General features: G+C 56.3%; 1 protein-coding gene across 10 annotated transcripts in view, besides 1 other annotated feature; it reads right to left on the reverse strand.

Annotated features, from left to right (window-relative positions):
- PTPRN2 (protein tyrosine phosphatase receptor type N2) overlaps window positions 1–15529 on the reverse strand; it is a 1048768-nt gene that overhangs the window by 108178 nt on the left and 925061 nt on the right. For all 10 annotated transcript variants that reach the window (XM_047420678.1, NM_130842.4, XM_047420679.1 and 7 more), the window contains one exon: window positions 9124–9318. In XM_047420678.1, the coding sequence (XP_047276634.1) occupies window positions 9124–9318 (195 nt within the window). The remainder of the gene's footprint in view (window positions 1–9123; window positions 9319–15529) is intronic.
- Window positions 13944–14443: an enhancer, noted in NCBI's record as "H3K4me1 hESC enhancer chr7:157453869-157454368 (GRCh37/hg19 assembly coordinates)". NCBI's record gives its function as "activates a minimal SCP1, AML or CMV promoter by ChIP-STARR-seq in naive H9 embryonic stem cells {active_cell/tissue: H9 hESC(naive)}" and the evidence as "EXISTENCE:reporter gene assay evidence [ECO:0000049][PMID:30033119]".

Consider the following 15529-nt stretch of genomic DNA (forward strand, 5'->3'; position numbering starts at 1 on the left):
TGGGTCAGACCCATCCAGCGTGCACTGAACTCGGTGGGTCAGACCCATGCAGCGTGCACTGAACTCGGTGGGTCAGACCCATCCAGTGTGCACTGAACTCGGTGGGTCGGACCCATTCGCTGTGCACTGAACTCGGTGGGTCGGACCCATCCAGCGTGCACTGAACTCGGTGGGTCGGACCCATTCGCTGTGCACTGAACTCGGTGGGTCGGACCCATCCAGCGTGCACTGAACTCGGTGGGTTGGACCCATTCACTGTGCACTGAACTCGGTGGGTCGGACCCATCCAGCGTGCACTGAACTCGGTGGGTCGGACCCATCCAGCATGCACTGAACTCGGTGGGTTGGACCCATCCAGCGTGCACTGAACTCGGTGGGTCGGACCCATTCACTGTGCACTGAACTCGGTGGGTCAGACCCATCCAGTGTGCACTGAACTCGGTGGGTCGGACCCATTCACTGTGCACTGAACTCGGTGGGTCGGACCCATTCACTGTGCACTGAACTCAGTGGGTCGGACCCATCCAGCGTGCACTGAACTCGGTGGGTCGGACCCATTCACTGTGCACTGAACTCGGTGGGTCAGACCCATCCAGCATGCACTGAACTTGGTGGGTCGGACCCATTCACTGTGCACTGAACTCGGTGGGTCAGACCCATCCAGCATGCACTGAACTTGGTGGGTCGGACCCATTCACTGTGCACTGAACTCGGTGGGTCAGACCCATCCAGCGTGCACTGAACTCGGTGGGTCAGACCCATGCAGCGTGCACTGAACTCGGTGGGTCAGACCCATCCAGTGTGCACTGAACTCGGTGGGTCGGACCCATTCGCTGTGCACTGAACTCGGTGGGTCAGACCCATCCAGCGTGCACTGAACTCGGTGGGTCGGACCCATTCGCTGTGCACTGAACTCGGTGGGTCGGACCCATCCAGCGTGCACTGAACTCGGTGGGTTGGACCCATTCACTGTGCACTGAACTCGGTGGGTCGGACCCATCCAGCGTGCACTGAACTCGGTGGGTCGGACCCATCCAGCATGCACTGAACTCGGTGGGTTGGACCCATCCAGCGTGCACTGAACTCGGTGGGTCGGACCCATTCACTGTGCACTGAACTCGGTGGGTCAGACCCATCCAGTGTGCACTGAACTCGGTGGGTCGGACCCATTCACTGTGCACTGAACTCGGTGGGTCGGACCCATTCACTGTGCACTGAACTCGGTGGGTCGGACCCATCCAGCGTGCACTGAACTCGGTGGGTCGGACCCATCCAGCGTGCACTGAACTCGGTGGGTCAGACCCTTTCACTGTGCACTGAACTCGGTGGGTCAGACCCATCCAGCATGCACTGAACTCGGTGGGTCGGACCCATCCAGCGTGCACTGAACTCGGTGGGTTGGACCCATCCAGCATGCACTGAACTCGGTGGGTCAGACCCTTTCACTGTGCACTGAACTCGGTGGGTCAGACCCATTCACTGTGCACTGAACTCGGTGGGTCGGACCCATCCAGTGTGCACTGAACTCGGTGGGTCGGACCCATTCACTGTGCACTGAACTCGGTGGGTCAGACCCATCCAGCGTGCACTGAACTCGGTGGGTCGGACCCATCCAGCGTGCACTGAACTCGGTGGGTCGGACCCATCCAGCGTGCACTGAACTCGGTGGGTTGGACCCTTTCACTGTGCACTGAACTTGGTGGGTCAGACCCATCCAGTGTGCACTGAACTCGGTGGGTCGGACCCATCCACTGTGCACTGAACTCGGTGGGTCGGATCCATTCACTGTGCACTGAACTCGGTGGGTTGGACCCATCCAGCGTGCACTGAACTCGGTGGGTCAGACCCATTCACTGTGCACTGAACTCGGTGGGTCGGACCCATTCACTGTGCACTGAACTCGGTGGGTCGGACCCATCCAGCGTGCACTGAACTCGGTGGGTCGGACCCATTCGCTGTGCACTGAACTCGGTGGGTCAGACCCATCCAGCGTGCACTGAACTCGGTGGGTTGGACCCATTCACTGTGCACTGAACTCGGTGGGTCGGACCCATCCAGCGTGCACTGAACTTGGTGGGTCGGACCCATTCACTGTGCACTGAACTCAGTGGGTCAGACCCATCCAGCGTGCACTGAACTCGGTGGGTCGGACCCATCCAGCGTGCACTGAACTCGGTGGGTCAGACCCTTTCACTGTGCACTGAACTCGGTGGGTCAGACCCATCTAGCGTGCACTGAACTCGGTGGGTCGGACCCATCCACTGTGCACTGAACTCGGTGGGTCGGACCCATTCACTGTGCACTGAACTCGGTGGGTCGGACCCATCCAGCGTGCACTGAACTCGGTGGGTCGGACCCATTCACTGTGCACTGAACTCGGTGGGTCCGATCCATTCACTGTGCACTGAACTCGGTGGGTCGGACCCATCCAGCGTGCACTGAACTCGGTGGGTCGGACCCATTCACTGTGCACTGAACTCGGTGGGTCGGACCCATTCACTGTGCACTGAACTCGGTGGGTCAGACCCATCCAGTGTGCACTGAACTTGGTGGGTCGGACCCATCCAGCGTGCACTGAACTCGGTGGGTCGGACCCATTCACTGTGCACTGAACTCGGTGGGTTGGACCCACCCAGGGTGCACTGAACTCGGTGGGTCGGACCCATCCAGCGTGCACTGAACTCGGTGGGTCGGACCCATCCAGTGTGCACTGAACTCGGTGGGTTGGACCCATCCAGCGTGCACTGAACTCGGTGGGTCGGACCCATTCACTGTGCACTGAACTCGGTGGACGCGTAAATGGCTCTCAAAGGAGCTCCCCAGGCCCGCAGGAGTGAGGCTGGGAAGTCTCGGGGTCTCCAGAGCCGGCTACTATGGCACCTGGACGCTCCTCCTCTCCTGGCTCTGCCTCTTGCCCCAGCTTTCCCCTTCCCTGCTGGTTTAATGCCGTCTCTGGTCATGGGGCTCCGTGCCTGGTCCTGTGTGGCGTGAAGGCTTCCCAAACCTGCCCGCCGGAGAGAGACATCCCCCGCAGGGGCTCCCCATCAGGGCAGGGCACACCCCCACCCGCCGTGCTGGGAAGGGGGGACTATGTACCCCTCCATGTGCAGGCCTTGCCTATGCCACGCAGTCCTCAATGGTGAGAAACAGCTTTCCTGCAAAAATAGGCTCCTCCAAATGTGCGCCACAAAGCCGGCATCGTCCAGACAGCAGCAACGGCCTGCCGTGTCTGTGAACGCAGGCCCCACAAAGCTGGAGAGTTCGCCCTGCGGCCTGGTTTACTCATCAGGCCTCCGCGCCAGCACCCGAGCCAGAGCGAGAACGGCCAGCCCAGCCGCGTGGCCCCAGAGTGAAATTCTCGGTGGCCCAGTGCCCCTCATCCTGGGAGAGCAGCCATCTGTGCCCGTCAACCACGTGGGAACGATGGAATGGAATCTTCCAGAAATACAGGGCACTGGGTCTGAAGGTGGAGGGACTGGGGCCAGGGGAGCGCCTGCCAAGGCCCCGGCACTGGTGGCGTGGGGTGCAGGGGACCCCAGCCCCTTTCTGCTGCAGCTGGTGACTTGCAGCCTTGGGCAGGGACATCTGGCATGGTTTCGCGAGGCCCTCCTGGTTCGGTGACTTATCGCTAAGAACTAAGAAGCCTGGAGCCTGACAAGATCAAACAATGAGAGACAGAGATCTCTCAAGGTGCACAGGCAGAGACACGACGGGCCCAGGGAAGACTCCAGGCAGGCAGGAGGGCCGAAGTTCAGAGGCCGTGAGCCGTGTGGGTCTGAGGAGGTCACAGCTTGTGCCGGCATCTGTTGGTCGCCAGCACAGACACGCATCACGCGTCTCACGCTGGGAGTTCAGAAACCCCACAGGCAAATCTGCGGAAGGTGCGGCGCGACTCCACAGGCTGGCAGCACCCCCTCCCTCCTCAGCAAAATTCATGAACTTTCCTGTTTTCTGTGATCATGGGAAATCTTTGGTCACTTCCTGCAATGCCTAACTTTTCGTTTTTCACGTCTCTGTCACTGCGCTTGGTTTTAATGTCGTCATCTGTGAAATGGGCCTACTCACAGCTCCTGTGCCCTCAGTGCCTCAGGACTCTCCAAGGATGAGCGAACTCAAAGATCACTGTCCATATCCTCATCTTCAACACTCAAGAGGATGGATTCTGAAAAGCACTTACTCAGCACGGCTTTCCCAAGTTAAGTTCTATATTATTTAAGTCGAATGGAGAAGTATGAAGCCAACTTTTTTCTTAACATCCCCACTCTCCAAAAAACGTTCTCTAGCCTTTAAAGGTGGACGCGGTGGCTCCCGGCCGACTCAGGCGTAATTAGTCACATCGGGACGGTGACACTCTTCTCCACCTCCTCACTCAGAGCCAGCCAGGCAGAAATGTCACCCTTCTGAAAGCAAAGTGATAGGGAAACAGATCTTGAAAAAACTCGATGATTCTTTATCTTACAAAAGGATGTGACAGGATTTCTTGAGAAGCCACGTCCCCGCAGATGATTAACACGCAGCCGCTTTGATAACCGTCCTGCGAAGTCGCCTTCATCACGTCCTTGCTTTTCAGAGTCCCGAGCCTTGCTCTGAGTGAGCATCTCCGTGTTGCCTTTCGGCCGTTTCCAGAGAAATGTACCGGTTTCTTGATGGAAGTGTTTCCTTCCTGCCTCTCCCTCCTCTGAGTGCTCCATTCACCCGCAGGTGAGCCTCGACTCAGCTTCTTCCAGACAGTCCAAGGCAGGGGCACGGACTGCACCTTCCCTGCGCCTGGGAGGCCCATTTTCCAGGAACAAGTGACATTCTGGGCTGGGTTTTCCCTGCAAATAAAGCCCTTTCTCCTTAGTTCATCCCAGAAGAAAACTGGAATTTTTAAAGGACCTTTCTAAGAAAATGAAGGCAAAGCAACACAAAAACCAGAATCAAAGCCCAGAGACAGGGATCAGGCAGAGTGTAGAGAATGCAGGCCCAGAGGCCCAAACCCTACCAAGCAAAGGCCCCGCCGGGCTCTGTTCCTTCAGCACAACCCCTTCCTCTCCAGCCCGACGCACCTTCGGCACAGGTGAGGTCTCAGGATGGGCGGCATCTCAGATGCTCACCCGGTTTTACCCTCACAGGAACCCCAGGGGAAAGGCACTGCCATCAAGCCCGTCTCACAGGGGAGAAGAAGGTTGGAGGTCTGTCCTGGGACACAGCACCTGCAACAGCAAAGCGTCTCAGCTCTGACACCTTGCTGATGGAGCCCAGAATCTGTGCTCCACATCTAGACCTGACCACCTGCTGTCATGGCAGAGCGGGGGACCCAGCGGCTGCCCCAATGACCTGCCCACCCCTGCCCCTTCCCATCAGGCTTTCATGTGGCCCCTTCCCCGGGGGTCCCTGAGACGTGTGCTCTCCCTCTTGTTCCACCTGCTGGGACACCTTGACCAGGTAACTAAGTCCCTCCCTGCAGTCCTGAGACACCAGCCTCTTCCTGGTGACACCCAGTGGCTGCACAGCCCCATGGATCCCCCCATCGGGGCAGGCACCTGCCGCCTCCTGTCTCCCAGGGAAGCCTCCTTCTCTCACACCCTGGCCTGTCTCCTTTATAAGAGTGTTGTATGCTCCCCTCTCTAGATGGAGTGCTCATTTCTAGAGTTCTGTTACTCCGGGTCTCCAGCACGGAATCCCAGCCTCTGTGCAGAAAGCAGCAGCGTGAGCTCCAGTGGGTAGAGTGCCCCAGGGCGGGAGGGGGCTCTCGGGGCCAGGAGGCCCTTCCTGTGGGGCCACAGCCAGGCCAGCCCCGCCTGAAGGTCTGGGCTCCGGGGCAGTGTGCAGCCTCCACCCTGCCACATGTGTCCTTTGTCACAGAAAGTCTCCGCTCTTGGTGCTGAGCCTGCCCCCCAGACGGTGCAGCCGGCCTCTCCCACCTGCTGGGGCTCCTCACATCTAGCTTGGCCTCCAGACATCACCAACCTCTGCTGTTTATTTCATCGGATCGTGGGGTTCAGATGCCACGTTTTGTCCAACGTGCCCCAGGAGTGGCTGCATGTCAGGAACATGTCGCTGGGAATCTCTGTGGCTTATCTGACCATCCTGCCATCCTCAGGTGAGGGGCACTGAGGTGGCCGGTTGGGTGTCTGGCGGAAACGAGGCTTTGCGCACAGAGGGCTGGGCTGCTGGATCACCACGGAATTGGCTGCCTTGTAGCTGTGATGAGTCGGAAGGTCGGCGACTCTGATGCGTTCCTGCGGCACCAACCTGCATGTGCTTTCTACAGCCTGTGTGTGCCAGGGAGGGTGGCGGTCAGTGCCCCGAGATTGGCTGTAGCTTCCGAGCCTAAAAGGCTACCTGTGTGAGTCCTGGGAAGAGGTCTACCTGGAGCTCACCTGTGGCGTGAGTCTGTGCCTCTCTGCTCCTGTACCAGGGACATGCCCACCAGGAGACCCCGCATGGCTGAGAGGGCACGGGAATGCACTTGTAAAGTGAGCTCAGAGGAAGGAAAATCAGAACTGCTGAGTGAGAGGAGACGCCAGGGTCCAAGGCCCACGTCTGGCCCACTTGGTTGCTGGACTCCACACGATGCCCGCTGCTCCCCACACCCACCCCAACTGCACACGACGCCCGCCACTCCCCACACCCACCCCGACTCCACACGATGCCCGCTGATCCCCACACCCACCCCAACTCCACATGACGCCCGTCTCTCCCCACACCCACCCCAACTGCACACGATGCCCGCTGCTCCCCACACCCACCCCGACTCCACACCATGCCCGCCGCTCCCCACACCCACCCCGACTCCACACGACGCCCGCCTCTCCCCACACCCACCCCAACTCCACACGATGCCCGCCGCTCCCCACACCCACCCCGACTCCACACCATGCCCGCCGCTCCCCACACCCACCCCAACTCCACACTGCCCGCCACTCCCCACACCCACCCCGACTCCGCACGATGCCCACCTCTCCCCACACCCACCCCAACTCCACACGACGCCTGCCGCTTCCCACTCCCACCCCGACTCCGCACGATGCCCACCACTCCCCACACCCACCCCAATTCCACACCATGCCCGCCGCTCCCCACACCCTCCCCAACTCCACACTGTGCCCGCCGCTCCCCACACCCACCCTGACTCCCACCAGCACCTGCTGGCATCGTGGAGTCAGGGAAATATCTCAGTAACATTCATTTTCAAAACAGCATTGGTTGATGAGGAAGATCCAGTTTCCCTGAGTTTACAATCTGTACGCACAGAGTCTAAGTCAGCCGGACTCATACTTGGCCTGAGTGTGTTTCTCGTTTCGGCCCTGCAGTTGTGGGCGGTGGTGAGACGCGTTCCGAAACAGGACCCCGTCACGGTGTGTGGCCCTCGATGACCCCCCAACAGGGTGTCTGGAGTCAGGCTTTGCAGGGTTTCCGCCAGGTGGAGGCTGAGTCTGTCCTTGCGGTTTAGGCATTCCAGCAGAAGTGGTGCTTGCTGTCAGAGCTGCCATTACATATGTGAATGCCAAACACAATTCTCTGAGAAATACAGTATTTCCAGGTACCAATAGAGCTTGAGATATCATCAAATTGTTACTCAAGCACCTTGAAATGTGGAAATATCAGAACACAATGAGAGCTCGCTAAGCGGCTCTCCTCTTGGCTGACCTGTCAGATGAATGTCTTTGGCTGATGGGTTTGGCCCTAATACCAAATCTCATCACAAATATGAACTCCTGGTCTCTGCTCCTTTTCTAAAAGGGACAAATGTCAAAACAGCCTCAGAAAAGTCAGATCTAAAGTAACAAAACCACAGTCCATCAAGGGAGGAGGTTCTGCCAAAGTCGATGACAGGTCTGCCGAGTGAACTCCACGAGCTGTCTGCTCCCGGGTGTGAACACCTCGGGTTTGATTTCTGGCGGGTGGTCCGGCTTCGTGGGCTCGCCCCAGGGAGTGATGGGAAAAAATGTGCCCTCCTCAGCTCAGGGATCGGGAAAGCCAGGCTTCTTGACTGTTGCTTCTCCTCATTTTAAGTTATCCAGGGAGAAGGCTGCTGAGTTCCTCAGTTTCCCCAAACGTCTGGTCCAAGCGGGTCTAGAACTGCGTGTTTCCCACCAGACGTCAGCTGTTTGTCCCTGGAGCGTCAGCTGGGCCGGGAGGCCTCCAGCCTTGATCTCCAAGCTCTGCAATGAGGCTTTTTAGTGAAAACATGGTTTTCTGGCTTTTTGTGGTCCAGATCCACCAGTCTATACTATTATTAACTCATTAGGCAAAAATAATTTTTAAAAAATGTAAGCATTTAACAGCAACTTACAGGGTCCATCCTGCAACCTGGGAACTTAATGGTACGGCGAAGAATGTTTCCCTGACCCGTAAGTGCAGCCGCTGCTTCGGCCAAGCAGCGTAACAGGCTCTGCCCTTTCACCCCAGAGGCTCCGTCTCCAGTGCGGGAAACAGCACAGCCAGGCACGGTCACCCACCAGGACGACGCCTACGGCCTGGAGATCCAGGAGGCAGCCAGCAGGACGTGCTGCGCTATTGACAGCTGTCCTAATAACACCCGGACATTCATTATGTATGGAGTGGCAATGCACGGCCACACACGCGTGATCACTCCAGCGAGGACCCTGGAAAAGGCCGCTGAAGCCGCGTCGCCGTGAGCCTCTGGCCGGCGCCACCAGGAAGGCTCCTGTGAAGAGCCGAGCACCCAGCCCACACCTCCTCCTGCCTTGCTGTCACAGCAGTGACATTTATTTACCCAAATGACGCTTGCTGGCCTTGAGTGCCAAGGAGACAGCAGCTGCTTCCGAGTCAGAGGCCCAAAACGGCAGCGCACATGGTAGGCACTAACAGACGTGTATTCCACTGAAAACTAAATAGCGGGTGCTCACTCTTACACACCAGGGACTGTGTGTGGGGGCTGCACGTTCCAGGCAGAAGCACGGCAAAGATCTCAGGAAGTAAATATTCTTGTTTATCTAAATTAAGAAGACTCCCTGCAGAAAGAGCCCTGCCTGTCAGCCTCTGCAGCGGGCAGGGTGCAGCCATCATCGCCCAGTCCCCGAGGGTCAGCGGGCGCAGATGCTGGGTGTTGCAGGGGCCGAGGAAGGAGGGCCCTGGTGTTTGTGTGGCAGGGAGTGCAAAGACTGGGCTTACCAGGATCATGTGGCCGGTGGAGATGTCCATGTTGGACTGCACAGGCTCCTCGGACCAGGATGAGGCGCTGCTGCGTGCGGAGGGGCTGGGGATCGGCCCGTCGCTGAACTGGGATGAGACGCTGCTGATGCGTGACGTGTGCGGGCCCTCAGGTCGGTCTGGTGGCCGCGTGGCCATACGCTGGCGGCACAGCTCCTGCAGGACAGGGGGAGGAAGAGCAGGGGGTTAGTGGCATTGGGGACACCCAGCAGGACGAGGGCCACGGCACCCACGTGGCACAACCCCTTCTCCTGCTAAGATCCAAGGTTCAGGCAGGCGAGAGTTTACCCCAGGGCAGGCCAGCGCAACATGACGGTCAACGCACCCCAAAGCACGCGCCCAGCACGGTGACCCGAGAAGACTTCAGGCTTGTGCAGGAAAAGAGAGGCCTTGCTCTCAGAATCTGAGAATACAAACACACATACACACACACATATACACACACACACCACACACACACACACATCACACATATATACACACATACACCACACACACCACACACATCACACATATACACACACACACGCCACACACACACACCACACACATCACACATATACACACACATACACCACACACACCACACACATCACACATATACACACACATACGCCACACACACACCACACACATCACACATATACACACACATACACCACACACACCACACACGTCACACATATACACACACATACGCCACACACACACACCACACACATCACACATATACACACACATACGCCACACACACACACCACACACATCACATATACACACACATATGCCACACACACACCACACACATCACACATATACACACACATACGCCACACACACACACCACACACATCACACATATACACACACATACACCACACACACACCACACACATCACACATATACACACACACACCACACACATCACACATATACACACACATACACCACACACACCACACACATCACACATATACACACACAAACGCCACACACACACCACACACATCACACATATACACACACATACGCCACACACACACACCACACACATCACACATATACACACACATACACCACACACACCACACACATCACATATACACACACATACACCACACAAACCACACACATCACACATATACACACACACCACACACACACCACACACATCACACATATACACACACATACACCACACACACACCACACACATCACACATATACACACACACACCACACACATCACACATATACACACACATACACCCCACACACACACCACACACATCACACATATACACACACATACACCCCACACACACACCACACACATCACACATATACACACACATACACCACACACACCACACACATCACACATATACACACACAAACGCCACACACACCACACACATCACACATATACACACACATACACCACACACACCACACACATCACACATATACACACACACCACACACACACACCACACACATCACAGACACACACACACCACACACATCGCAGACACACCACACACACACACCACACACATATGTAACAGACACACACACACCACACACACGTCACAGACACACACACCACACACACATACACACATCACAGACACACACACACTGCACACGCCACAAACACTCACTCCTATAGATTCAAGAAAGCATCCACTGGATCCTCCTCTGTCATCAACGTGGAATATTCTGGGATAACGCCACAGTAGCCTTCGTTGGGTGGCTTCTCATTCTATCAGAATATAAGCCACAGGGGAGGCCGGGGGCGGTTTGCACTGTGGACTGAGATACAGAAACTGGTACCACAATCAAAGAGTCTGCAGAAAAAAGAAGAACCTCATTCTGACGTTTCTTTCTCTTTCCAAAGCAATGTCCAAGAGCCCATGCAAGAGAAGGCAAATGGAGCCGTGCGGGAGACAGAAGGCACAGGGGAGGGAGAAAGGCCTGTGCTGCTGAGTAGACACCAAAGCAGAAGTTCCCGTATTTAAAGGAAACTCTCAACATTACACCCCAAGACAGCTTCTGAGGGATCACTGCAGGGTCTTCGACCCTCCTTCCCCAGGCAAAGCTCAACCACACACGCGGTGGGCATCCCGAGCACCTGCCCGGCCGTATGGGACCCGCCTGCAGGCAGGACACGGCCACGCAGCCTCAGGTGCTCAGAACACGCCGGGACCCCGCTGCTGCCGCTCACCTTCAGGGTGCAGCCTGGGTGCCCCCCTGACGTCTGACCAACAATCTCGTTTTGAAAGTGTTCTAACCACTGTGTTAGGATAGCCCGTCCTATTGCCTGATGAAAATATACCTGTACCCTGAGTCTGCAAAGTGAAATGATACCCAGAAAAAGTTTATAAGAGAACTGGAGCTCAACAGAAGAGGTGAAAATGCATTCGTGAGAAAAAGAAAGGCTCCGGGGAACCTCGTGGGCTGCTGCTGCCTTGGTTTCATTTTGGTGGTGTCCGGGGGAGGCCAAGCCACCCACTCGCTCCCCACAGCCGTGTGCGTCAAAGGCCTTGCACTCCCCAAGGCAATCGCCAAAGCTCAGGAAACACTCCATGTGTCCCTTCTCCCTTCACCCCGGGGTGCCGGCTTCCTTGTGTCCATTCTCCCTTCACCCCGGGCTGCCGGCTTCCTTGGCTTTAAAGATGTCTGCCAAGCCCACCGGCACCACACCATCTAGAAAACATTTCCCTCCACCTGGCTCTCTGGGATGAGCAATTCATGCTCCCGGGCTCTCTGCTTCGGACTCATAGCGAGATACAGGTGCTGTGGGAAGGGGCCCTGCGGCCCCCACTCTCCAGGAGCCTGCAGCCCCTGTGAGAGCAGCTGGGGACAAGGAGGATGACCGCGGGGACTGGGAGGATGACTGCGGGGACGGGGGGGGATGACCCCGGGGACTGGGGGGGGACGACTGCGGGGATGGGGGGGGACGACTGTGGGGAAGGGGGGGACGGCCGCGGGGATGGGGGGGATGGCTGGGGGGACTGGGCGGGAGGTGGATAGCCGCAGGGACAGGGGTGGGAGGATGGTCACAGGGATGGGGGGGGCGGGGGGGATGACTATGGGGACCGGGCAGAGACGCACAGGGGAAGGTGGACTTTACCAAGGGCCTCTGGTGAGGGTAAGGGGTCTCTAAGAAAAGGGAGAGTTCCAGTTCCTTCTTTCCCATACATCTTCAGGTACTTGTTAGTTTATAGACAGTTTTAAAATAGTGAGTGTGTTTAAAAAAATCCACCCACGTTTTCTCAGAATCTCAAAAACAAAGCAAAATAAACAAACAAAAAAAACCCCACAAAGGATAATTCTTTATTTTTTATTTTTATTTTTATTTTTGATATGGAGCCTCACTCTGTCTCCCAGGCTGGAGTGGAGAGGCACGATCTCGGCTCACTGCAGCCTCCACCTCCTGGGTTCAAACGATTCTCCTGCCTCACTCCCCTGATTAGCTGGGATTACAGGCGCCTGCCACCACGCCCGGCTAATTTTTCTATTTTTAGTAGAGACAGGGTTTCACCATATTGGCCAGGCTGGTCTCGAACTCCTGACCTGAGGTGATCCACCCAATGAGGGATGATTTTAATAAGGTAGATGATACCAGTAACCAACCTGAGTATACATCTCATTTATTTCTCAATTGTGCACATGAATTTTGCTTGACGTGGGGGAAAAGCACACTGAGAAATGTTTCTGAAGTAACTTCTATCTCTTCACACAATTTCTCCAGAAAAATAACGTCCAACCAAAGCATGAGAACAGCTACAGCTCAGGGAACCCAGAGGGTCCGAGAATGTGACCCTCTGGGGAAGAGGATTTGAAACGCTGGAGATTTACTCACATAAAAATAAAAAATCAAGCTAGTTCCATGCCCATCCTGTGATTTGCCACCCATGGGAGAGCTACAGTGAGGTCTGAGCTCTGTTATTTCCTGAGTGCCATGGAGGGTGAAGCCACCAAGAGGCCCCACAGGACTGAGGTCCCTGCTGCACCACAAACTTCCGTTTTTATTGTATTTATTTTTCTCCCAAAGTCACCAATAGCAAACAACCACAAACTTTTCATGTGAACTTGGGAAAACCTCTAAAGGTCTCTAAGCCTATTTTTTCACTTTATAAATGGAGATAATCCTATAGTTACTGTGAAGATTAAAATAGATGGTTTCCTGTATATTCAGTGCTTAGCATGGAGGCAGCTACAGAGAAAGCCTCAAGCATTCATGAGTAAGAGAGACGTATTAGTGAATAGAAGTTAGGGCCGTTCTCTAAGCCAGAGCCAAACTCTTGACGGCTTGGCAAATGTAAAGATATTTCTGAAGAAGTTACAGAATTTATTATTACTATTATTATGAGACAGAGTCTCGCTCTGTCGCCCAGGCTGGAGTGCAGTGGTGTAATCTCAGCTCACTGCAGCCTCCGCCTCCCGGGTTCAAGCGATTCTGCTGCCTCAGCCTCCCGAGTAGCTGGAATTATAGGCGTGCACCACCACACCCAGCTAATTTTTGTATTTTTAGTAGAGACGGGCTTCACCACGTTGGCCAGGCTGATCTTGAACTCCTGACCTTAGGTGATCCACCCGCCTTGGCCTCGCAAAGTGTTGGGATTACAGGCGTGAGCCACTGCACCGGGCCAAAGTCGCAGAATTTAGAGCTGGACAAGCCGACATCGCCTCCTCCGGCGGGTGGCTCAGTGCCCAGTGGCTCAGTGCTGGTGCACGGTGAGGGAGACCCAGGGTTCGGTGCCTCTCAGCGGGGACCCGCGGCTCTCACCAGTGGTCTCGCGTCACTGCGCAGCGCAGGGTCTTCTTGAAGGTCTTAACTTTTTCAAAGGAGGGAAACTGCGATAAAGATCCAAGAAAAATGTCCCTGGCAGAGAGGAAGCCCCCGAAAGCTTGGCGCAGAATGCTGGAGACCCGTGGCGGCAGCTCTTCGCCTGTGCAGAGGGAGACGCTGCCGTGGGAGAAGGGTGTGCCCACAGCAAGGCAACGCGCGGCCGGGGACGCTGCTCTTGCCCGAAGGCGCTCTCCCTGCGGGCTTCCGCCTGGGAACGGGGGCGGGTGCTCTAGCCCGGCGCTGCTCCGCTCTGAACCCACCGCTACCAAGTTTCTATTCAGCAAGTGGCTCAGGCAAACATCTGAGCAGCGATAAGGCCGGGAATGGCCTGCAGGGAGGAATGGGATGATGGGGAAGCCGGGTCCTGGGTGGAGGAGGTTGGCAGTGATAAGGCCAGGAATGGCCTGCAGGGAGGAACGGGATGGTGGGGAAGCCGGGTCCTGGGTGGAGGAGGTGTCTGGGGCTGAAGCCCCCCATGCTGCCCCTGAGCCTGGGGGCAGGTGAGAGACGCGTCCTACTTCCCTGGACACTACGATGGGCAGGACGTGGCTCCCCGGAGGCACCAGCCATGTTTCCCTCACATCACCAGCGCAGGCTTTTCTGAAGGCTCTGGGGGAACCTGCCACTTAGGAGAGTCTCTGCACCTCCACAAAGCTGCCCTGAGACAGAGGCAACGGGGCCACCATGGACGCCTCCTAGAAACCAGGACCCAGAAAACAGGTATGTCTTCAGAGGAGCAGGATGAGAACTGCAAAAACAGACCTAACTTTGGTTCTTTTCCTTGACGTCCAGGGCAGTCATTGACTCATTCACTCATAGCACCTGCAGTCAGAGGGCCTGATTTTGAATCTGGGCTTCAGGTCTTACTGACTGTGTGGCCTTGGGAAAACACTAATCTCTGTGTGCCTCAGTTTCCCCATCTGTGAAGTGGTGATAATGGTACCGACTTCACCGCTGGGAGGATTAAATAAGATAACATGCTTAGAGTGAGGCTTTGGGCCTGTGCCTGACACACACCAGGTGATTATTTGCTGTTCCTACTACGATGATTATTAGTTTATTCAAAATCAGGTTTGCTATGGTCCCTTGCCGAGTCAGCACTGCACAGGGTGCCAGGAACACCAGGCTGAGCCAGGCTGGGTCAGACTCGCCGGGCCCTGACCCCCGAGCACTCCCACGCCACCCAGAGCTGGGCACGAGTGACCGCAAGAAGCGATGGGAATGACAGCAACAGCACGTGTTGGGCGTTCGTGGGAAGGGGTGCCGTGGGGCCGGGAGGAGGGGACCCTCCCTGAACTTGAGGTCAAAGAAAGCTTTAGGCAGGAGAGGCTCAGGCCCCAAGGCTAGGCCGCAATGGCACCTGCAGAGATGGGGAGGTGTGAGCAGGCATGGGGCCTGGAGGTGCGTAAGAGCTTCCACGGGGCGAGGAAGGAGGAGGAGGAGAGAGAAGGGGCCGCCACTCCCTACAGCCTCCTGGGTGGGCAGTGCTGCGGGCACAGCGCTCTGCA

This window comes from Homo sapiens, chromosome 7, assembly GCF_000001405.40.
Source record: "Homo sapiens chromosome 7, GRCh38.p14 Primary Assembly".
In the NCBI taxonomy this organism is placed as follows: domain Eukaryota; kingdom Metazoa; phylum Chordata; class Mammalia; order Primates; family Hominidae; genus Homo; species Homo sapiens.